Source organism: Homo sapiens, chromosome 10 (assembly GCF_000001405.40).
Source record: "Homo sapiens chromosome 10, GRCh38.p14 Primary Assembly".
Classification (NCBI taxonomy): Eukaryota; Metazoa; Chordata; class Mammalia; order Primates; family Hominidae; genus Homo; species Homo sapiens.
Window position 1 is genome coordinate 12,718,592 of NC_000010.11, and position 24,158 is coordinate 12,742,749.

Below are 24,158 nucleotides of genomic sequence, written 5' to 3' on the forward strand. Positions count from 1 at the left end.
GTGAGCAGGTCTTCAGAGTTTCGAGCTGAAGTTACAGGTTTAGAGTTGTCCGTTGGAGGTTTTTGTTTCTTCGTTTAATGATTTAAAAACAGGTTATGATACAAGATCTTCAAAATGGTTTTACCACATGCATCATGACTTAGAATCTTCGTTGGCTCTTTTGGTTTTTTTCATTCAAAGTTGAAATGCCTCACCTCTTCTTTCTTTTTCTCTCTACTAACCATTTTCTACTGAGCACACCGTACCTTATCAGTCTCATAACTGGGCCACCTAACTCTCCCTAAGACAGCACTAGGAGTTGACACCCAGAGAATCTGTAAGTCATGTACTGCTCATCTAACGAACAGTCCCTGCTAGCCTTGCCTGCTTCTTTTGCATAGACCCCACTCTTGGGCACTTCCACATCTGCTAAGTCCACTGAAACCCAGTGGGGTAGATTCATCTCATCAAAAAGAAATAGAGACAAGGTACGACAATTACACGATTTTTGACCGAAGGTTCTCATGGGAAGTTCCCCATTAAAATTGTTATAGAGGCCGGGCACAGTGCTCACATCTGTAATCCCAGCACTTTGGGAGGCTGAGGCGGGTGGATCACCTGAGGTCAGGAGTTCGAGACCAGCCTGGCCAACATGATGAAACCCCGTCTCTACTAAAAAGACAAAAAGTAACCAGGCGTGATGGTGCATGCCTGTAATCCCAGCTACTTGGGAGGCTGAGGCAGGAGGATCACTTGAACCTAAGAGGTGGAGGTTGCAGTGAGCCGAGATCACACCAACTGCACTCCAGCCTGGGCAACAGAGTGAGACTGTGCCTCAGGAAAAAAAAAAAGAAAAGAAAAAAGAAAACTGTAAAAAGAATTTCCCTCATTTCATGAATGCACCACCCTAGGTCTCTTGTATCAAGAGAAATCTGGGAGGAAACACTTTCCTGGCGCCTGTGGGCAGGGGTGAGGCAGGAAGGAGTGAGTAGGCTGGATTGAGCAATCTTCAACAGAATCCTGTTTCACTTTTTAGGGTTAGAGCCACTTTGCACTAACCTTTCCACTGACAGAACCACTCACTAGGAAACTGAAGGAACTCAGGAAGAACCCAGTGCCAGCACTGAACCACTGCGTCCCTGCCACTCTTACTCCTCCTCCTTCAGGGAGCACTTTTTACCTGGCAAGGCTGTTTCACAGTTATCCCAGGATGAAACCTATGGATAACACTCTTTTAGCAGGTGTAGAGACTAGAAAATAATTGCTCATCGCATCCCAGCCTTTAGATTCCAGTCCTCTGGGAAGTGTGGTTGAGAAGGGGACAGTTGCGAGCAATCCAGCTCGAGTTTTAGCACACAGAAGAATTACCTGAGGGTATCACTAAAGCAAAGGTTGCTGGGCCCTGCCTTCTGAGATGCTGATTCAGTGGGTCTGGGTAGGAAAGGAGGCATGAATTTGCATCTAGAACAAGCTCCCATGTGATACCAAGGACTGGTCCAAGGACAACCCTTTGAGTAGCAAGACCTTTAAGAACATGCTTCTAATACCCAGCTGTTGTCACCTGGAAGGAGGGATGCCTTTGGAGGTGAACAACAGAGCCACTCAAACGCTTTTCCATCTGAACCACAGAGGACTGGATGTCACTCAGGACTCATGACTTGAATTAGGGTATAAAAGAACCCAGCCTGGTCCGTCTGCAGAATTCCTAGCGAAGAGTCACTCTTGGGGTATCAGTGAGAGAAGAGGCTGGGCATCAGAGCATCATGGAGACAATGTGCCTCTTGGTCTTAGGCCTTCATTTACAGATGATTTTAGACAGTCCCATTAAAGACACAGTTCCCTTGAACTTCACAGACATGCTGAGTGATGACAAACCTTGGCAGGTCTGTGACCAGTTTCTTCCAACAAGTTACTTCTAGGCATTCCTACTAATCTTTCAACCCACTCATTGCTTAAGGGTAATAAGATCTAGAGATGACGTGGTAGATAAGACTGTTGACACATTCTCTAATCTTAGCTAAGCAAACAGAGACTCATTGTCCCAAGCCAGTGGCTGGCACAGTGCCCTGAATGTCTTAACAGAGTTTGACAGGGAAATAGGAGCCCTTCAACCCTTTTTTGAGATTGAAACTACAAGAGTGAGAAGATTATTTTTCCCTCTCGAATGGCCCCGAAGAATCAATAAGGATTCAAGGGTTTTCCTCTCCACGGTAAGGAGATTGTTCTTGGCAAGTTATGCTGAGAAGCCTGTTGTGTGCCTTGTCCTCCCTCAGTCATTTCAGCCTTAGAATTGAATTAACTGCAGGCCCAAGGACATAAATGAACCACGTGAGTCATTTTTCAAAAGTGAACGACAGGGCACCTGTCTTCTGGAATTGGTGAATCCATTCAGCGGAGACTCTTGACAAGGCTTTGTGTGAGATGATATAAATAGGCCCTGACCTGCAGGGCTTTTGTTGTCTTTGGGTGAGATAGAGACATTTGTACACAAATAATCACAAACTGGCTAAACTGTGCCACGTGATTAGCAAACATGCGCATGCCCAATCAGCGAGATCTTCACGGTCAAGGGGCTAATGTCTAGAGAAGCTTGGACGTACAGAATAGCGTGGCCGTTAGTCTTATATCCTGTCGTGGTTCCCCACACATTTCAATTACTCGATAAGTAATTCGAGACCAGTCACAGGCTTTTTTCTCACTTAATGGACAGCCTTGATGAGGGCTAGCAATTTCTTCACTTCTTGTTCCAAATATAACCAACTTATAAAAACACCTTCTGGAACTCCATACAGGGAAGAATAGGATTTAATCACAGGAAATGTATCGGCGGGCTGTGCATTACTCAATTTAGCACTGTTGGGAGCAGATCAAAATCTGGGATCCATGGTATTAGATGGCTCCAAGCTTCAAAATTTTGTGTTCTTTCACTGGCTACCATCCACCATCCATCCATCCATCCATCCATCCATCCATCTATCCATCCATCCAAAAAATATTTACTGAGCAGCTACTAGGTGCCAGGGCCTTTGTAGGCATCAGGAATATAGTAGTGAACAAAATAGACAAGGACCCTGTGCTCACAGAGCTTATTACCTAGCAGAGGGTAACCCGTAGTAACAGGTACACACATGCATGAACTAGGTGCCTCCAGATAGTAGTCATTAGGCCACATGGCTCGATGGGAAATGACTAGGGGGAGATTAGGGTTGTGTGGACCAGTGCCTCCTTTGATAGACAAGCACTGGTTACGGACATGGCCCTAGACTCCAGGTGTCAGAATTACCACTGTAGACCTAATGTCTATAACAGAGGTTTTAGACAGTAGGAGTTTTTAACAGTAGGAGTTACTGAAACCCCTCGCTGCCTTCTAAGTGCAGCAGGCTCTATAACAAGAGGGGGCTCTGTTTCCCTAAGTGAGGTAGCTTTCTGAGGTCCCTTTTATAAGGGCGTTAATCCCATTCACAATGGCTCCACCCTCATGACCTAATCACCTCCACAGGCCCCCCATTCCTAACACCATCACCTTGGGTGTTAGGATTTCAGTATATGCATTTTGGGAGACAGTCCATGGTAGACTTTAAGATAACTCCAGGCTGGGCGCGGTGGCTCACGCCTGTAATCCCAGCACTTTGGGAGGCTGAGGCGGGCGGATCACGAAGTCTGGAGATCGAGACCATCCCGGGGATAACACAGTGAAACCCCATCTCTACTAAAAATACAAAACAATTAGCCGGGCTTGGTGGTGGGTGCCTGTAGTCCCAGCTACTAGGGAGGCTGAGGCAGGAGAATGGTGTGAACCCAGGAGGCAGAGCTTGCAATGAGCCAAGATTGTGCCACTGCACCTCCAGCCTGGGCAACAAAGTGAGACTCCGCCTCAAAAAAAAAAAAAAAAAAAAAAAAAAAAAGATAACTCCAAAGAATTTGAAAAGTAGTGTAAGTTACAAAGTTATCCCCTAGAAGTTATAGAAATTTGCCCTTCAGCATCCTCATCTGTAAGTGGAGAAAATGATACTTCATAGAGAAGTTATGAGGAATTCTTAGCCAAACACTGGGCACACAATAGCCATTTGGCAAATGTTGGTTTCTTCCCCTCCGGCCTACCAAAGGATCTGGACGAGGTCAGTTCAAAGGTCCTTACCATTTAAACTTGAAGCTATAAGATTAAAATCCCTGTCCTAACAGAGTTTCTAGCATTAAGGCGGAAACAGAAATGTAAGGCATGGCCCTGATCACTAAAAAGGATGTGATCTATTGGGAACTACTTGGAACAAGAGTGAGAAGTAGAAGAGAGTAAAGAGTCAGGAAATGTGATTTAATAAGTATGTGACAGAATATTGAAAGTGTTCATTAGTATATCTCTAACGGAGGTATAATCGGTGCTCTCGGGGCAGGTGGAAAATGGTGTGGGCTGGAATTTGAGTGTAGATGGGAAAAGGCAGAAAGGAAGGTGTTCCGGAGTCCACATGGGAGGAAGAACTATGTGAACACCACATGGGGAAAAGAAGAAATGGACGTGAAGAGGCTAAAGTCCCAGGGTGTCAGGCAGTGGGCTTGTGTATTGCAGGCCCACACGTCTTAAAGCAATCTCATTGAGTCACACTTAATTAATTGAGAATTTATCATTATTTGGAAGGAGGCAGGCTGCAGTTTGGGAGAATTGAGATTTATTAGGTGTTTGAACGGTCTGAACGGGAGAATTGTAGAATTTTTGCTTTAAAAGGAAAAGATGTCTGACCTCTTCCATGTAACAGATGAGGCATCTGCAGCTCACAAGGTTAGAAAGCTTCCCTGACCTCACACAGATGGTAAATGACAGAACCCAAACTAATTAAATCCTGCATTTCCCTGAATCGTTTTTGGGGCATCTCATCTCAGAAAAGGAGGGGAAGGTTATCTACTTAAGGAAGGTTATCTACTGAAAATACCGCAGTAGTATTGATTACATTAAGGCATACAGGAATTGCAATATGGTACAGATGAACATGCATCTTTTGCTAATGTGTAAGCTCATCACTAATCAGCCTACTTATGAATGAAAGCAAGACCTCCAAGAGGCAGAATAGTTACTATGTAAATTGAAAGGCATTTTTTTCTATTAAAATACATCATAAATAATTATGTTTATATCCTTGCAGTAGTTTAAAACTCTATTAGCAGGTTTTGTTGTTGTTGTTGTTTTGACATTCTTTTTTTATATTTTTTATTATACTTTAAGTTCTAGGGTACATGTGCACAATGTGCAGGTTTGTTACATATGTATACATGTGCCATGTTGGTGTGCTGCACCCATTAACTCGTCATTTACATTAGGTTTATCTCCTAATGCTATCCCTCCCCACTCCCCCTACCCCACAACAGGCCCCGGTGTGTGATGTTCCCCTTCCTGTGTCCAGATGTTCTCATTGTTCAATTCCCACCTATGAGTGAGAACATGCGGTGGTGTTTTGACATTCTGTCGCACAGGCTGGAGTGCAGTGGCGTGATCCCAGCTCACTGCAACCTCTACCTCCCAGGTTCAAGCAATTCTCGTGCCTCGGCCTCCCGAGGAGTTGGGATTACAGACGCCGGCCACCATGCCGGGCCAAATTTTTATATTTGTAATAGAGATGAGGTTTCACCATGTTGGCCAGGTTGATCTCAAACTTTGACCTCAAGTGATCCACCCACCACAGCCTCCCAAAGTGCTGGGCCTCCATTAGCAGGTTTTTAAATGTGTTTCTATCTTTTTGTCTTGGGCTGCCTTCTGTTTTAACAAAGTGAGGAAAATGGCATTCGTGTGCATGGAGAAGGGACTCTGGGGGCCAGGGTTTGTGTTCTGGGGCTTTCCGAGTCCTTGAGTGGGTTCTGGAGTCACTTAGGATAGGAGTCACTTCACTTACAGGAGTTTTGCTTGTGCAGAGGTCTCATCTGCTTTGGATTTACTACACCCATCACTCTGCATCTTCTGGTATAAAAAATGGAATGTGATTGCTGGACAAAAGCAAAACCTTGTAAATCCACTTTAAAGAAAGCAAGTGAATACATCCCAGTTGTCCTAGACACTGAGAAGTCCTCACATTTAAATGGCTGTTTGGGAAAATATTAATACTTTGAGGAGCTTGACACCGGGCAACCGCTGTCTGAGCTTCATAGGAAGGAGATGCTTCTGTGTGAATGAAATAAAGCCCAGCTCAGGGCAGCCTGAGTTCTGTGGGCCTTCACTTGGGTCTAGCCAGGTGACAGAATGTGATCCGTCTGAGTTGGAGGCTGCAGTGAGCTACGGTCACACTGCTGCACTCCAGCCTGGGTGACAGAGCCAGACCCCATCTCTTAAAAAACCAAAAAAAAAAAAGTGATCTCTCCGTGTCTCAGCGTCTGCCACCTGAGATGTTTGATGTAACTGTGAAAAGAAAAAAGGCACGTTTCTTTCAACCACATCTCTTTCAACAATCTAAACTTCACAAATGATAACCAGGCACATCCGTCTAGTGTTTTGCAGCAGAAGCAAGGGTCCCACTGTGTTTCTCCTTAGCCGTGTGGACTGGGGGCAGCTGGAGAACCCTCAGATCCGCAGTCCTCTGTGGACTCAGCTTGCAGATCCCTGCCTGGTACCTGCCCACATTGCCACAGGAGCCAGTAAGAAAATAACAGCAGGGGCTCTTTGTCAGCCATGGAAATCGGCACCCTTGGAATGCATGAATCTTAGGTTGGTGAAAAAGTAATCATGCTTTTTGCCATTACTTTTAATGGTAAAAATGAAAAGTAATGGCAAAAACCGCCATTACTTTTGCACCAGCCTAATATATTCTTACGTGTGAAAGTATTTGTAGCTTCTTTCCATTAAACTCAAAAGTAGGGGGTTTTCTTCCTCAACACTAAAGGACATCAAAGTAGTAATTTTCAAGAGAGAGTAAAGTGCATTGTCAGCTCAAATATATGAATCCAAACATGATTTCTAAAAAGATGATTTAGCCAGAAGAGTTAGTAATCTGACAAAGTTTAACAGCTTTCTTAAAAAGTCATAAGTACCCACTGGCAATGTCAATTACTACTTTATTTTCTCAACAGTCTTCTCTCATTTCGGCATCTTGCAGGAAAGAGCAACATCATGAGGCGTGTCTACACCTGCTTCTGTGGGAGAAGGAATGCACGGGATTCCAAAACTGGTCATGTTCGTCTAGCCAGCTACACACTACTGAATAATATGGTTTTCTTTGCTGTTTTTGAGCTGGAGTCTCACTCTGTTGCCCAGGCTGGAGTGCAGTGGCATGATCTCGGCTCACAGCAACCTCCACCTCCCAGGCTCAAGCAATTCTCTTGCCTCAGCCTCCCAAGTAGCTGGCATTACAGGCGCCCACCATCACACCCAGCTAATTTTTGTATTTTTAGTATAGACGGGGCTTCCTCATGTTGGCCAGGCTGGTTTCAAACTCCTGATCTCAGGTGATCTGCCCACCTCGGCCTCCCAAAGTATTGGCATTACAGGCATGAGCCACGTCACCCGGCCTGGTTTTCTAGTATATAGACTATTTCTCTTTTTACTTAACCTATAAAATAGAATTGATGACTTGGTAATGTTACAAAGGGAATACTGGGCCGGGTGCAGTGGCTCATGCCTGTAATCCCATTACTTTGGGAGGCCTAGGCGGGTGGATCACAAGGTCAGGAGATCAAGACTGTCTTAACCAACATGGTGAAACCCTGTTTCTACTAAAATATAAAAAATTAGCTGGGCATAGTGGCACGCACCTGTAGTCCCAGCTACTTGGGAGGCTGAGGCAAGAGAATCACTTGAACCTGGGAGGCAGAGGTTGCAGTGAGCCCAGATTGCACCACTGGACTCCAGTCCAGACAGAGCAAGACTCTGTCTCAAAAAATAAAATAAATAAGTAAAAAAATTAAAAAAAGAAGGGAATACTGTAGTTAAGCGGAAAGCTGACTTACACATTGTCAACTTTAATTAGACCTAGTGCCGCAGGAGAATTAAAAGAGACATGTCTCAGAAAATAATTCTACAGAAGCCACGACCAGGACATGCCATCGTTGTTATTAGTAATTATTTTTATACCTGCTGTATATAGTGCAAGGCTGTGCTCAACGCTTTATAGAATTCATTAAATTCTCACACTAGTTCCATGATGATTGAAGAAACTGAGACTTGGAGACATGGTGACTTGCCTCAGTGACGGAGCTTGGATTTGCTCAAACGTCTTCCAGGTTCTTGAGCCCACAACCTTACCTACTATGACTGTGGTTTTCAAACATGGGACAGAGTTTTGAGTTCTCACTTTTGCTTCAACGGGATAGCTCATTTAAAAAATGCTTTGCACGTGTTCGTGCATCCAGGTGAGAATTCATTTGAACCCAGCCCCCTCAGGCCCCTGTGCTCCCAGCTGCCCAGGGCCATGGTGAGGAGCGGCTGTATTCAGTCAGGCCTACGGCACGCCATGCCCGTGGCCCCACACCCAGGCTCCCCTTCCGCGTTATCCTCAGCCTGCGCAGCCCAGGGCCTGTGTAGCATGCATGGCACATGTGCTGACGGAGGCTTGTGGCTCATGGGGCCCAAATAGCCAGGAGCTGGGGCTTTACGGTTTTGTAAAAACTCATCATCTGAGCAAGGGAAGCAAAACTGAGCCTCGTTTTGATGATGCTAGGCTACAACTTACAGGCTTCTGAAGACTTTTTAAAACAATCCCTTTCAAGTCCAGAAGTGTTAAGAAGGTTATGACTCAGAGACATCAAAGCAGAATGGATTTGTGGATCTGAGGTTAAATAATCATTTAGGGCAAAGCAGGCATCACTGGTCTGTGCTTATGTAACGATATTTCTCACTAGCTTCCTTCAAGAAGCATTTTTACTGATAGCATGTGACTGCCTAAGGAATTTGTGTTTTGACAACGTTTGCACTGTGATTGAGAATAGTGTGCACTGGGCCACGATGTTTTATGGAACAAGCACCATTGTTGGGATGATAAAACATTCAGAGGCATAAGTTACACACAACAGACAACAGTGTCTTCTGGGCACAATCTTTCATATCATGGAGGTTCCTGGAAACACACCACAGCCTGAAACACAACTGCCAGCATCAACGCAGTGAGGTTTTTTTATTTGATTACGTACAAGGGCAGAATCTGGCGTATCACAATATATCATAGGATGCACCTAAGAGCCAGGAAATGTTTCACATGTGTCAGGCTTCTAAATTAATCACAGCCTTTTTTTTTTTTTTGAGACTGAGTCTCGCTCTGTCACCTAGGCTGGAGTACAGGGGCGCGCGATCTCAGTTTGCTGCAACCTCTGCCTCCTGGGTTCAGGCGATTCTTCTGCCTCAGCATCCTGAGTAGCTGGGAGTACAGGCATGTGCCACTATGCCCAGCTGATTTTTGTATTTTTAGTAGAGACGGGATTTCACCATGCTGGCCGGGCTGGTCTCGGACTCCTGACCTCCAATGATCCGCCCGCCTCGGCCTCCTAAAGTGTGGGGATTACAGGCGTGAGTCACAGCTCCCGGCCTTGATTACAGCCGTTTATCCTGACAAATGTGTCAAAGGCTTCCCTGTGAGTAAAACAGAGATGGTGCCTCCATAGCACTGAGTTGCAATTCCAGATTTGTCATGTGTGTTAGAGGGCTTCTGGAGTCACTGCATTGCCCTTCTTAGTAAATGTAGCAGCTTTGCATTTTTGTTCGATTAAAGATATAAGAAGATGCTGCATGTTTTTCTAGCTACCCTCTTGGTGCTAACATCTTGCAGGGACAGCCCAGTTTGCATTGTGAGCCTTCTTGGCTGCGTGGACAGATTCTTGGGCAGCGCTAGTTACATCGGTACAAACATTCGAATTGTGTTATAATGTTAGTCCATTAGCAGAGCCCTTAGCTGGGAGTAATTGGCCACTACAGGGCCAAAGTAACCCGTTATTGTGCACTGGCATCGAGAGCAGTGTTTTAAGTGGTCTGACGGGATCTGTGTTTAGAAACTGCAGGTTGTGAGTTACTGTGTGTGAGGTGATCCAGTATTGCACTGTTGGTGTGATAATAAGGCTGAGCCCGAGACTTGGCTTCCACATTTATCATAAGGGGATAATGGCTTTGCGCTGTGGACAGCTGCGTTAGGATGAGGCAGATCGGTTTCTCTGGCTGCCCTTTCAATTCCACTCACCACCCTCACCCCGTAGTTTTCATGCCACAGAGATGCATGCCTTGGCCGCTGAAGTCAGTGTCTGCCTGGAGACTGCTGCTGGTGTCTGGCTTTGGGAGTGCGTGTGTGTGTGTGTATGTGTGCGCACGCACACGTGCCTCTGCCGTTGCTCCCTCTTCAGGCTTGTGTCTGCCTACAGAAAAGTCTAAAAGACATTCAAGTACTGAATATGATCATTTGCAGATCACTTCTGAAATGAACGATAACTACTACTAACTCTGTAACAAGAGGGAACAAGTTAAAAAAGATGATACTGCAATGCATGAAAAAACTGAAAAGTCAGTGAAATAGTTCTTCCTTACTAAAGTTATTAATATTTGGCGTCATGCTGTCCTTTGTGCCTTCATGTCATCGTGGTTGGGCACCATAGAATTCCAAGAATAAAGGAGCTTTGGAGCATGGGACAGGGCAGTCCTGTGCGTGTTTTTCGTTCAGCAAATCTGGCTGAATATGTGCTGAGTGCCCGTGGCTGTTCTAGGTTACAAAATTCAATAAGATCTCCACCTCCATGGAGCAGGGAGAGGTAGTACCAATAAACATAATAAATAAGCAAATTCTGTAGCATGTTAGAAGATGCCGAGTACCTATAGAACAGATTAAAGTGGGACCGAGCACAGTGGCTCATGCCTGTAATCGCAGCACTTTGGGAGGCCAAGGTGGGAGGACTGCTTGAGGTCGGGGGTTCAAGACCAGCCTGGGTAACATAGCAAGACCTCGTCTCTACAGAATTTTTTTTTAAATTAGCCAGGTATGGTGGTGTGCACTTGTAGTCCCAGCTACGTGGAAGGGTGAGGCGGGAGGGTCACTTGAGCCCGGGCTGCAGTGAGCTATGATGTTGCCACTGCACTCCAGCCTGGGTGACAGAATGAGACCCTGTCTCAAAAAATAATAATTTGTTTTTAAAAAGGATTAAGTGGTGTAGAGAGATTAAATATTCGAGGAGGAGGGACGGTTAAACTTCAGGGAGCAGGTGACAGCTAAGCAGCCTAAAGGAGCCACATGGGTAGAGGTTGCAGATATTTTCAGGAAGAGCATTGCAGGCAGGGGGAATGGTAAGTGAGGACACCCGAAGTGCGAGGGTGCCTGGTGTGGCCAAGGCCCAGCGGAAGGCTGGTGCAGCTAATGCTGGTGAGGTCGGGGACAAAAGACAGAAATAGGGGTTGAGATGTAACAGGAGGCCTCGTCCCATAGAGCGTTTTAGGCTCCCCAGGACTCCTGGACTTTGGGCTGACTCTGAGGAGGATGCAGAGCCGCTGGGAGATTTGGACAGAGGCGAATTGTGATCCCACTTGCGTTTGAACAGAACCACTCTGGCTGCTGTGCTATGTTGAGAATGGACAGTAGGGGGCAGTGGTGAAAGCAGGGAGAGTGTTGGGAGGCTGCGGCAGTGACCCAGTGACCGAGGGACCTAGTTAGGATGTGTTTTAGGCCAGGATGGTTGCCAGGGAGATAGGGAGATGGGGTAGGATTCTGGATGTATCTTCAGGACCATTAGCATTCCCTGGTAGGTTGAAGATGGGCCAGTAAGGGAAACAGAGGGGTCAAAGGTGATGCCAAGATTTTTGCCCAAAGCACCTGAAAGATGGAGTTGCCCATGACTAAGATGGGGAAGCACGGGGTCAGCACCGATTTGGGGGGAAGATCAGGATTTCATTCTTGGATGTGCTGAGTTTGAAACATCTGAGTCATATCCAAGTGAAGAGTTTGAATAGGCCGTTGGATATATTTAGGATAAAAGCCTGGGCTATAGATACACATTGGGGGTGGAGGGGACCATTGGTGTATTGATTTGAACCTTCATCCACGAGCCAGGATGAGAGCACCAAGGTAGTGAGAGTAGACAGAGGGAAGGGCTACAGACTGAGCTCTGGGGCTGACCAACATTAAGAGCTGGGGAGAAGAGGAAGAACCCAGAAGGGAGACTGAGAAGGGGTGGCTGGTGGAATAGGCAGAAAATCAATAGCGGTACCTTGGAAGGTAAGTCGAGAAGGTGGTTTAGGGAGGAAGGAGTGGTCTCCAGGGTCCAGCCCCACTGGTAGCTCAAGTAGGATGAGGACTGAGAACTGACTGCTTTGTTCAGCAACATAGAATCATGATACTGGTGATTCTGACAAAAACGCTGTTTGTGAAGTGCTAGGGCCAGAAGCTTGATTGGAGCTGAATGTTCTAGAAAGTCTCCTGGGGAGAGGATTTAAATGTGAGAATGAAAGAGTATGTTTGAGACACTTTGCTGCAAAGGAGAAGAGAGAAATAGGGCAGTCGCTGGCAGGGGAAATGAGATCAAGATAAGGTTTTGGTTTTGGTTTGGTTTGGTTTGGTTTGGTTCGTTTTAATGAGAAAAAGTACAGTGTATTTGTGTTCCAATTAAAGTGAACCAGCAGAGAGAAGGGAAGGCAGTGCTATCAAAGAAAGTGGAGAGAATTGCTCAAATCAGGTCCTTGAGCAGTGGAGCGGGAATGAGATCTAGTGTACGTGCAAGATTGGCTGTAGAAGGATCGTGCGTCCTCTATGAAGGGAGAGAATGTGGAGTAACTTGGTGCAGATGCTTCTGGTGGTGAAAGTCTGTGGGAATTCTCTTCTGATTGTTTCTATTTTCTCAGTGAAAGTGGAAGCCAAGTCATCTGCTGAGAATCTTGGGAAATAGAGATTGGAGAAGAGGAGAAGTTGTGAAATAGTTGTTGGAGAAAAGTCATGAAAGTGAGCGGACTAGAGAAATAAAAGTATCAGGGGTCAGCATGATCGGGAGTTTAAAGCAAGTCTGTACATGTTTCCACCTCATGTTCAGCTGCACTGGTGCAGGCACAGAGGAGGTAAGAGTTGGGTCTAACCAGAGCCATGGCTTTGCCAAGTAAATAAGACAGAAAGAAGAGGGACGGTGTATGGCAAGGAGCAGCAGTGATCAGCTGTGGAATCTAAGGGAGCAAGAGGGAGCAAGAGAGAGCATCGAGTTGGCAGGTAATAGTGAAAAGATGACAGATGGAAAGATGGATTGGAGGTCTCAATGGGACTGGAGGATTATCGGAATCTGGGTGTTAGAAGGAGTGGGCTGGAAAGATTGAAGGTGGAGATCAGAGAGGAGGCTGCTTGATGGTGAGATTTAGGATGGGGTTGCAGTTCCTGATAATGACGAGGTCTAGGGCATGACCACAAACCCGAATGGACGATGGGGTAGGGAGGAGGACTGAATTGGACTCCATTCAAATACCTTAGAGATGCTGGGCACGGTGGCTCACGCATGTAATCCCAGCACTTTGGGAGGCTGAGACGGGTGGGTCACGAGGCCAGGAGTTTGAGAACAGCCTGACCAGCATGGTGAAACCCCGTCTTACTAAAAATACAAAAAGTAACTGGGTGTGGTGGCGCGTGCCTGTAATCCCAACTACTCAGGAGGCTGAGGCAGGAGAATTGCTTGAACCTGGGAGGCGGAGGTTGCAGTGAGCCCAGGTTGCGCCATTGCACTCCAGCCTGGGCAACAGAGAAAGACTCTGTCTAAAACAAAATAAATAAATAACAAATACCTGAGAGGCTCAGATATGGGCAGGGTCATCTCCATGCATGTTGAGGTTTGTAGGTATCAAGATAGGAATATGTTAGACAGTATGACAGTGAGTGAGGAGCTGAAATCATTGAAAAATAAGGGACATGATCTGTGTATTATTAGTCCATTTTCACGCTGCTGATAAAGACATATCCAAGACTGGGAGGAAAAAGAGGTTTAATTGGACTTACAGTTCCACATGGCTGGGGAGGCCTCAGAATCGTGGCGGGAGGCGAAAGGCACTTCTTACGTGGTGGCCGCAAGAGAAAATGAGGAGGAGGCAAAAGTGGAAACCCCTGGTAAACCCATCAGATCTCGTGAGATTTATTCACCATCAGGAGAATAGCACAGGAAAGATGGGCCCCCATTATTCAATTACCCCCGCCCCCCCCGCCCCCTGTCCCTCCCACAACACATGGGAATTCTGGGAAATACAATTCAAGTTGAGATTTGGGTGGGGACACAGCCAAACCCTATCAATCTGGTTCACAGCAACAATGAGGGGCAATGGTACTAGCATCCGATAGGATCACCTAGAGCCCATGATTACAGTGCAGGCGATGGAGCCAACAGGGCCCTCATTTGAGATCTTCCCTCCACCACTTACATCTGACAAGCCACTAACCTCCCTCCTTCTCAGTTTCCTCATCTGTTGAATGGAGACAATAGCACATGCCTCAAAGACAGAGCAGTTCTGAGGGTTAAATAAGATAATGTACAAAAAAATGTTAAGCATGCTTCCCAGCATATAGCAATTACGATACATACGATGTCACTCCCTGGTCCAAATCTTTGTGCGAGACCCTGTGCCTCCAGTCCAGAGCAAAGTGGCAGTTTACCTTTCTATTCTTATATGGCACCAGTTGTTTTCTAAATAAGGTTTATTTGCCACCTTTTCTGAGCCTTTGTTCCAAAGTAGTATGAAGGTAAATTGGAGGAGGATGAGTCATTCAGGGTGAAGCTAGACAGATATTCTAACAGCTGAGAGAGACCAAGAAGACATCTTCCTTAGTAGCAGTGAAGATGGAGTTAGAAGGAGAGAATAGTAATATTTTAAGAGAAAAATTGCAGAATTGAAAACCTGAGTTAATGTTAGGTGGGGAGTCATAAACAATCTCCCAGGTTTCTGGCTTCGTTGACCAGGTGGATGTCATTAAAAGCACAGCAGGAAATTTTCAACACTTCCTGGCATAGAGTGGCTTCTTTAATTAATTGAATTTCCATCAGACTAGGCAATAATCAGACCATGGGCTCATTTCATCAATCCTCAGTGTTATTCAGGATTAACCATTCCACAGCGTGTATAGCCACAGAAGAATTATATCACCAGGTAGTGTTCTAGAAACATCAGAATTAAAATGCCAGCCAGTGGCTCTTCATTCAGTAAATTTCATTTATGTTATGCCATACACCCGAATCCAATTTGTTTTGAATGACAGGGCGTGTTAGCATTTCTTTGAGTTATTTGGCTCAAATGGTTCGATGGTTCCTGAATTGAATTTGCTTTTTTTGGCCAAAGAATTGAAAATGTTCATTGTATTGTAAATTTCAAAACCGTACATATCTATTATATATACAGTCATTGTATGTATACTCATTTTCTAAATTATTTAACCGTTCTTGAAGGACCACAGATTTCAAGTGAGATGATCACATCATAAGTGTCTCCAAGACTGTGGATGAAGCCCCCTGTGGTGGGCTAAATCCTAGATCTCTTGTGCTTCCCCTGAGCAGTGGTTTGTGTTAAATTATAGACACAGGCCGGGTGCCGTGGCTCCTGCCTGTAAGCCCAGCACGTGGGGAGTCCGAGGCGCGTGGATCACTTGAGGTCAGGAGTTCGAGACCACCCTGGCCAACATGGTGAAACCCTGTCTGTACTAAAACTACAAAAAAAGTAGCCTGGTGCATGCCTGTAGTCCCAGCTACTCAAAAGGCTGAAACAGGAGAATCGCTTGAACCTGGGAGCTGGAGGTTGCAGTGAGGCCGAGATCATGCCACTGCACTCCAGCCTGGGCAACACAGCGAGACTCCATCTCAAAAAAAAAAAAAAAAAAAAAAAATATATATATATATATATATATATATATATATAGATATAGATATAGATATATATATATATACACACACACACACATGTATATATATATACACACACACATATGTGTATATATACACATACACATATGTGTATATATACACATATGTATATATATACACACACACATATATATACACGTATATATATACACACATATGTATATATGTATATATATACACATATGTGTATATATATATATAGACACAAACCTCTTTGACTTGGCTGTATCCCTCTTTGACTCTGATACTAGAAAAATCCCAGAGCTGTGTTTGTGACCTGCTTCCACCAAGTCCAGACAACTTCATGGCCTGGCCTTGGGCACCAACCTCTCCCTACTCCTCATCTTAGATTTAATCCCCTCCTTAGCCCGATTTTTCTTACTTGTATCAAATTTGCTTTCTCTTTCTTTGTTGTCTGCATCCTTTCAAGCTGCCTTTCAGGCCTGCTGTTTGCAACAGAGTTGGGCAGAAAAAGTAGCTCATTATTGGTGGATTTGGGCATTTGGACAGGTCTCTCCTCACACCTCCAAGAGTCGCTGCCACAGAATAAACATTCAGTAAGCATTTGTTAAAATGGTAAATACTTACTTGTTTCACATTTGTGCAGTGGAGGTGTGATTCCAAGCATTTACCTAGCCTGAAGTGCCTTAGAATAATAGAATATTAATAGTAATAATAATGGCTAGCCTTTGTCAAGTGCTTTCTCTGTGTCTGCTTTTCATAGGTCTTCCTCAGTCCCCTGATGATCTCGAGAGATAAGTGGAATAATTATGCCCGTTTTACAGATGTGAGTTTAAGAAACGAAAGTGTCGGCCGGGCGCGGTGGCTCACGCCTGTAGTCCCAGCACTTTGGGAGGCCGAGGCGGGCGGATCACGAGGTCAGGAGATCAAGACCATCCTGGGCTATCACGGTGAAACCCCGTCTCTACTAAAAATATTAAAAAATTAGCCGGGCGTGGTGGCGGGCGCCTGTAGTCCCAGCTACTCGGGAGGCTGAGGCAGGAGAATGGCGTGAACCCGGGAGGCGGAGCCTGCAGTGAGCCGAGATTGCGCCACTGCACTCCAGCCTGGGCGACAGAGCGAGACTCCGTCTCAAAAAAAAAAGAAAAGAAAGTATCTTTTTTTCAATTCAGGGAGCAAGAAGCGGAGGGGCGAACCTTCGGTCTCTTCGCCACTGCCCTTCGATGCCGTGTCCAAGGGACAGTGATGGCAGAAACCTGGCTCTCCAAAAGGAGCTGGTCACTCTCACCTCTAGAGGTACCAACCGTCTCTCTGTACCAGACCTGATGCTGAATTGTCCTGCCATGACCTTGACTCAAGGAACAGTAGGCCGAGATACAGAGCTGGCAGCCTGGCACGTTCTAATCCCCGAAGAGTTATGGGGTGGCACAGTCAGCATCTTTTTTTTTTTTTAAGAAATAAGAAATTAAGAAGCTGTAACCCCTCCTTGCGCTCCAGATACTCCATTGCTGTGGGGTTGAGAGATGGCTGGCACCACACTCAGATTGCAAAGGAAAGAGAAGGATAAGCTGATTTTGATTGAAATTCCACTGTAGGCACATGGAGGAATTTGAACATAGCACTGAGCCAGTGAATACTGTGGCTCCCTCTGGTTGAGACTTGGCACTGGCTGCAAGGCCTTGCTGGCAGAGGGAGCTCATGCAGGGGACAGCCAGATCTGCAGCAGGTTTTGAAATGTGGCCTTTCTTCATCCAGAAATTTCCATGATGGCGCCAAACGGCAGGACTTCCAGAGAGCCTCTGATGGTTGCTCCAGGCAGCCTACGAGTTTCTTCCCCAGTGAGGAAGACCATGCTCACTTGCCTCCTCTCTTGCCTCCCCTCAACTTCTCCTGTTCTCTGTTATGGCGTGGCCCTGCCCATGTGTCCTGTCTCCTGCCACCACCTTCCCCTCGGCGTCCCCAAGGAGTGGTATAAGAGCAACATGTACTGCCAAGTAGCCTTGCCCCAGAGGCTCAGGTCTCTGACTGTTGACTAGATAAGCATCGTAATTGTGTTCAGCTGGATAATTCTATTCGGCGAGTTCTAGTAACAGTAATACTGAGAATTTATTGATTTTTTTAAAGCAATTTATTTCTAGAAGTGCAAAACAAATTATAATATCCTTGAAAGTTTTCTGGCACTTCTTAAATAAGATTTGTGTTTTACAATTTTGGAAAATATTTCAATACAAAACCCAACAGAGAATACATGAAAAATGAATAAGAAATCTAGTTCATATGCTTAGGTAGAAGTGCCTGCTGTATGCATTTACTGGGATATGTTGACACGATGTGCTTCCAAACTTTTTTTCTTCCTCCTGGGATGCTTCTTTTGATGAATAGCACCACCATCTCCCTGGCCGCTCTCGCCAGAGCCAGCGTGGTATTTAATTTAGTCAAGACTCCTTTGGTTGCCAGTGAGAGAAACCCACGAGGAACTGGCAGAACTCAGCATCTGCGTCAGGGACAAATAGCCCCTGCGTTTCTCTCTCCCGATCACTCTCTGGCTTTCCGGTCTTCTCCTCTCTGTCTGTTGGTTCCTCTTCTGCTCCCTTGGAGGAGCTGGACACAGCCATGAGTTGCCCCAAGGTTGCTTCATTCTAGCTTAGGGACCCAAGAGAACAGCGAGCATCCGTTGACCAATCTCAATGCATGCAGCTGCAGGGGAGGGCATGAAGGTGCGTAGCCTGAGTCCCAGGGGCCAGGGGCTGGACAGACACACATTGGCCTCTCTAACACTGTCCCTGGGCCTTCCTCCCACCCTCGCCCCCATCCATCAGCTACTGCCTCTGACCTCTCACCTCTCTCTCCTCAGGGTCTTCACTTTCTTTCCCTCCCTGTTGTTCCTGTCCTGGGCTGGCCTTGACTCTCTTTCTACTGGCCAGGGGCAGCAGCCTCTTGACAGTTTCCATACCCCCATTATTTCCCCTAACCTGTGCTTCATACCAGAAGGATCATCCTAGACAGAAATTGAACATGGGATATTTCTGCCCAAAGTGCTGTGTCTCTGTCATCATTAGAATGAACTTCCTAGTCAGGCCCCTTCCTGACCACCCCGGGCTGCACTGCCCAGTGACACAGGCTGTCTCGTATTCCCCAGACCCCTGCCCTCTTTCCTCCGAGCTTTGGAGTCTGCTGTCCTCTCAACTTGCAAAGTCCCACCCCACTTTCCCCAGGTCCCAGCTGAAACCTTCCTTGGCCTCGCCTCTTACTTCTGCCTGTGACCTTACCCACTGCTCTGCCATCCCTTCCCTTTAACACTTCTGTTCTTGGCATTGTGTATTGGAAATGTTCATTTGTATCGTTGAAAATTATCAATAATTGTGATATGACCAAATCCTAGATTCTACAGCACTTTACTCACTTTGGGGTAAAGGGGACGTGAGCTACAAGATAAACACAAGTAAATATAAAATACTATTAAGAATGCCTGTTGTAGCACCTAAAATAAACATGAGTTTATTGAACTCATATTCCAGTTGTATAATATGAGACTCCTATACCATACATCAAAATAAATTCTAGATGGATTAAAGAATAACTAGTCATAAATTCACAAAATGTATAATAAGGTAATAAAATCTTAAAATAATATACTCAGTGTAAAATCAAAAATTAAATCACAAGGTCTTTGGGAAGAAATATTTGTAAGATCTTTGAAACGAAGACTCTTCCTCAAGACAATAAATAGTGAAGGAATGTGTGGAGAAATCTAATTACCCAATAAAATGAAAAGCATCTGTAGGTGACAATGTGTGGAAAATATAATTAAAAGATAAATGTCAAACTATGAAAAATATTTCAGAAATTATGATAGACCCCAGGATTAATATCCTTATACCTTAGTAAGAGCTCATAAGAATTTCTGTCAATAAGAGGACATTTTAACCTTGTGTAACTAGTGAACAAGAGATGCAAAGAGTCACATAGATTAATCAGAAATGAAGACTAAAATAAAGCGAATGGATTCTCTGTTAGACTGTTGGTGGGAGTGAAGGACACGTGAGCTCTTTCCTGTCGTCGTTTGTCCAGTGCTAGAATTCTTTTTCTAGGAATGGCATCATCCAAAATGTAAACAAAGATATTTATGCCAACTTGATCTGTTCATTTTTATTTATAATAACAGAAATATCCACAGGGAATATATCATTAAAAATAAATTATTCTGGCCAGGTGCAGTGGCTCACACCTGTAATCCCAGCACTTTGGGAGGCTGAGGCGGGCGTATCACGAGGTCAGGAGATCGAGACCATCCTGGCCAACACAGTGAAACCCCATCTCTACTAAAAATGCAAAAAATTAGCCGGGCGTGGTGGCTCGCACCTGTAATCCCAGCTACTCAGGAGGCTGAGGCAGGAGGAGCGCGTAAAGCCAGGAAGCAGAGGCTGCAGTGAGCTAAGATCACACCACTGCACTCCAGCCTGGGCAACAGAGCAAGACTCTGTCTCTAAATAAATAAATAAATAAAAATAAATTATTCTATAACCACACGTAAGATTATGCAAACTTCAAAATTACCTTATGAGGTATGTGTGAATGTTGGGAAACATTTGTAATATAACATTCATTGAAAAGTTTGGCTGGGTGCAGTGATTCACGCCTGCAATCCCAGCACTTTGGAAGATGGTGGATCGCTTGAGCCGAGAAGTTTGAGACCAGGTTGGACAACATGGGGAAACCTCGTTTCTGCAAAAAATAGAAATATTAGCCAGGCGTGGTGGTGTGTACTTGTGGTCTCAGCTACTCAGGAGGTTGAGGCAGGAGGATCGCTTAAGCCCAGAAGGCGGAGATTGCAGTGAGCCATGATTGCGCCCCTGCACTCCATCCTGGGCAACAGAGAGAAACCCTGTCTCAGAAAAAGAAAAAAGGTTAATACAAAATGAGATAGATACGTTCCCCTCTCCCCCCGAGACAGAGTCTTGCTCTGTTGCTCAGGCTGTGGAGCACAGTTGCGCCATCTTGGCTCACTATAACCTCCGCCTCTCGGGTTTAAGCAGTTTTCCTGCCTCAGCCTCCGGAGTAGCTGGGATTACAGGTGCATGCCACCACACCCGGCTAATTTTTTTTTTTTTTTTTTTTGTATTTTCAGTAGAGACGGTGTTTCACCATGTTGGCCAGGCTGGTCTCGAACTCCTGACCTCGTGATCCACCCGCCTCGGCCTCCCAAAATGCTGGGATTACATGAGTGAGCCACCGCACCCGGCTGAGATATATGCTTTGATCTCAATACAACTTAGAAAAAAAAGATTGAGAGGATAAAGGTAAAATATTAATTCTGGGTGCCCTTTGGTGGTGGAGTTTGGGATGACATTTTAGTTTCGTGTACTTTGTATACATTCCATATTGTTTGTACTGAGCATGTACTACTTGTAATCAGAAATTTCAAAAGACCCCTAATTGTATGGTGCTCTCTCGGTCTTGGTTCGTTACAGCTCAGCTACCGACCCATCGAATCATTTTTCCTTCCTGTAACCTGGTTGCCTTATTCTTAAAATAAGACCAACAATAGCTTTCCTGTGAGAAGAAAGTGGAATTTGTACAGTTGCACAAATATTTTTGAAAAGTCAAAGATTTACTGTAGTAATGAATTGGACGATGGTATTACTTATGCCAAATATATTTCCTACCTTGTAAAAATAGTATCTGAGGTAGGAACCGAGTAGTTCCTGTGTGCTGTTTCATCCCGTCATCTGGGATATTATTTCTCCACCTTCCTTCTGTGAATCTTTCTGTCTGTGCTCAGCTTTTTCCTGGGGCCTCACCTCTGCTCTCCGTTTATGCAGCCCTCCCTGACACCCCTGGTGTAGCTGCGTGGAAAGGCACCCAGAGGCCACCCCATGAAGGAAATGCACAGAGCTTGTTTTGTAAATAAATGACTGTTTCGTGGAGGTGCCACATCAAGGGAGAGAGACAAGATCAGAAACCGGGAGATGGGCCAGGCACAGTGGCTCACGCCTGTAATCCCAGCACTTTGGGAGGTGGAGGCAGGCGAATCACCTGAGGGCAGGAGTTTGAGACCAGCCTGGGCAACATGGCGAAACCTCATCTCTACTAAAAATAAAAAATCAGCCAGACGTGGTGGCAAGTGCCTGTAGTCCCAGCTACTCGGGAGGCTGAGACAGGAGAACTGTTTGAACCTGGGAGGTGGAGATTACAGTGAACTGAGATCATGCCACTGCGCTCCAGCCTGGGTAACAGAGGGAGACTCCATCTCAAAAGAAAAAAAAAGAAAAGAAACTGGGAGATGGAGCTGGAAAGGCAGGTAGGATGGACTGATGAGGCTAGAGAAGCTGAGAGTTTGAACAAGACACAAATAGCTGAGCCGAGGCAGTTCAAGATTTTGGGAGGCAGTGCCTCTTTTGGAGAGATCTCTGTTTTGTTTTTGTTTTTTTTGCATAGGACAACACATTCCATAGTACTGGGTACTGAGTTGAACCTAGCATAACAAAAGCGGTCACTCACATCCCTTTGGTTGAGGACTTTTTAGTGCACCACCAATATTCATCTCATGTGCCAGTGGGAGTTAATAATCATGAGCTAGCCAGAAGTTTTGAATGAGATTTGGAATTTCCTTAAGCAAGGCAATTTCAGATAATTGGTGGTTCCTGGACTGCCTAAAGGAAGGGGATTTTCCACATCATCCTTTTGATGGAAGAGACTGAAAATGTTGAATGCACTCAAATTCTCCTCTATCTGTGACTTTAAATCATTTAATCACCAAAATCTTATCATCCTCCTGCCTCCAGGCTTTCTAGCAGAGGGTGCAAGTGTATTAAATGAAGGAAACGCATGGATTCTAAATTCAAACGGGGGTACAGAGTTTCCTGTCTTCTCATCACCTCTCTGAGAGCCTGAGTACTCTCAGATTTTCCCATATTCCTTTCTTCATGCTTAGCAGAGACCACATGCTCTTGTAACAGTTACGAACCGCCGGGTTAGACCTAAGTTCAGCAAATCCCTCTGCACAGATGGGTAAATGCATCTCGCAGTCCTTACAGGACAGCCAGAAAGGCACTGACCACGCTGAACCAGGCTCCTGACCCTGAGATTCAGGGACAGCGAGGGCCGCCCTCTTGGCTTGCCTTGCTCTGTTTCCATGGACAACAAATTTTGTATTGGCTACAGTCTGTGAAACATCAGATATGTTTTCCCTAGAGTTTGTGGTGCTTCTGTTCAGGGAACCTTTTGGTTTTCTTATTTCTTATGAAACATGTTCAGCATTTACAAATGTAGAGAGAATATGTCAGGAGCCTCTTGTCTTAGGTCGGTTTCCCTGGAAACAGCCTCTGAAGCAGAGGTTTGGGAGCAGGTGGTTTTCTTCGGAGAGTCCCCAGGATACGCATCTGCCGGGAAGGGAGGGAAGCAGGAGAGGGCCAGGGAAGGGAATTGGGCCACAGAGCAGGCTCAGCAAGGCCTCAGCCATCCCAGAACTTTGGAACTGAGACGGCCCTGCAGGGATTTCTCCTGCTTTGGGACAAGGAGGGAGGATGGACATTTACATCCTCTCATTGTCTGGATGTGAGCTGCTCCTAGAGAGGGATCTTTAGCTCTCATGTGCTAAAGGTGAGGGATTCAGCTAAGAGCTGGCCTCAGCCAACAGTGCCAGCATCTGGGGTGTCCTGAAGGGGAGAGCAAGGCCACACCCAGCAGCATCCCCTCCACTGAAGGGACAATGTCCACATAAGGCCCATCTTGCCCTCTCTCTGCCTACGCCCACTGCTTCCCTTTGTTTTTGTGTTTTAACACGTTTTTGAGGTGTATATATATTTTTAGACAGGGTCTCGCTCTGTTGCCCAGGCTGGAGTGCAGTGGTGCAATCATAGCTCACCACAGCCTCAAACTCCTGGGCTCAAACCATCCTTCCACCTCAGCCCTCAAGTAGCTGGGACTACAGGCATGTGCCACCACGCCCAGCTAACTTTTAAATTTTTAGTAGAGACGGGGTCTCACCGTGTTGTCCAGGCTGGTTTCCAACTCCTGGGCTCAGGCAATCCGCCTGCCTTGGCCTCCCAAAGTGCTGGGATTACAGGCATGAGCCACCACGCACAGCAGAAGCGTAATTTATGTACCATAAAATTCACTCATTTCGAATGTACAATTGAATGATTTTCAGTAAATTGGCCGAGTTGTGCAACCATCACCTGAATCCAGTTTCAGAACGTTTTCATCACCCTAATGGCACACACACCCTCTTTTTAAAATTATGTCTGGTAGATTTTGAAGCAAATCACGTGAGCTGAGGTTTCAGCTCAGTGAAGTTCTTAGCTTGAAGGGCTCTTTAGCTGGGAATAATATGAGCGAGTGAGGTGCCATTGAACAGTTATTTGAGATCACATCATAGAAGATCTTGGGAGATGTAACTAACT

At 45.6% G+C, this 24,158-nt stretch overlaps 1 protein-coding gene and 1 non-coding gene across 11 annotated transcripts in view, besides 3 other annotated features; one reads left to right on the top strand and one right to left on the bottom strand.

The window, feature by feature from the left end:
* Positions 1-24,158, top strand: part of CAMK1D (calcium/calmodulin dependent protein kinase ID) — a 485,999-nt gene that overhangs the window by 369,045 nt on the left and 92,796 nt on the right. The window lies entirely within an intron of this gene.
* On the bottom strand, positions 6,663-6,762 carry MIR548Q (microRNA 548q). Its single transcript, NR_031752.1, has one exon. It is a non-coding gene; the product is annotated as a microRNA 548q (primary transcript).
* Positions 12,511-12,560: a silencer, noted in NCBI's record as "silent region_2148". NCBI's record gives its function as "represses an Ori minimal core promoter by ATAC-STARR-seq in GM12878 lymphoblastoid cells {active_cell/tissue: GM12878}" and the evidence as "EXISTENCE:reporter gene assay evidence [ECO:0000049][PMID:35858748]".
* Positions 21,317-21,818: an enhancer, noted in NCBI's record as "H3K27ac hESC enhancer chr10:12781907-12782408 (GRCh37/hg19 assembly coordinates)". NCBI's record gives its function as "activates a minimal SCP1, AML or CMV promoter by ChIP-STARR-seq in naive H9 embryonic stem cells {active_cell/tissue: H9 hESC(naive)}" and the evidence as "EXISTENCE:reporter gene assay evidence [ECO:0000049][PMID:30033119]".
* Positions 21,819-22,318: an enhancer, noted in NCBI's record as "H3K27ac hESC enhancer chr10:12782409-12782908 (GRCh37/hg19 assembly coordinates)". NCBI's record gives its function as "activates a minimal SCP1, AML or CMV promoter by ChIP-STARR-seq in naive H9 embryonic stem cells {active_cell/tissue: H9 hESC(naive)}" and the evidence as "EXISTENCE:reporter gene assay evidence [ECO:0000049][PMID:30033119]".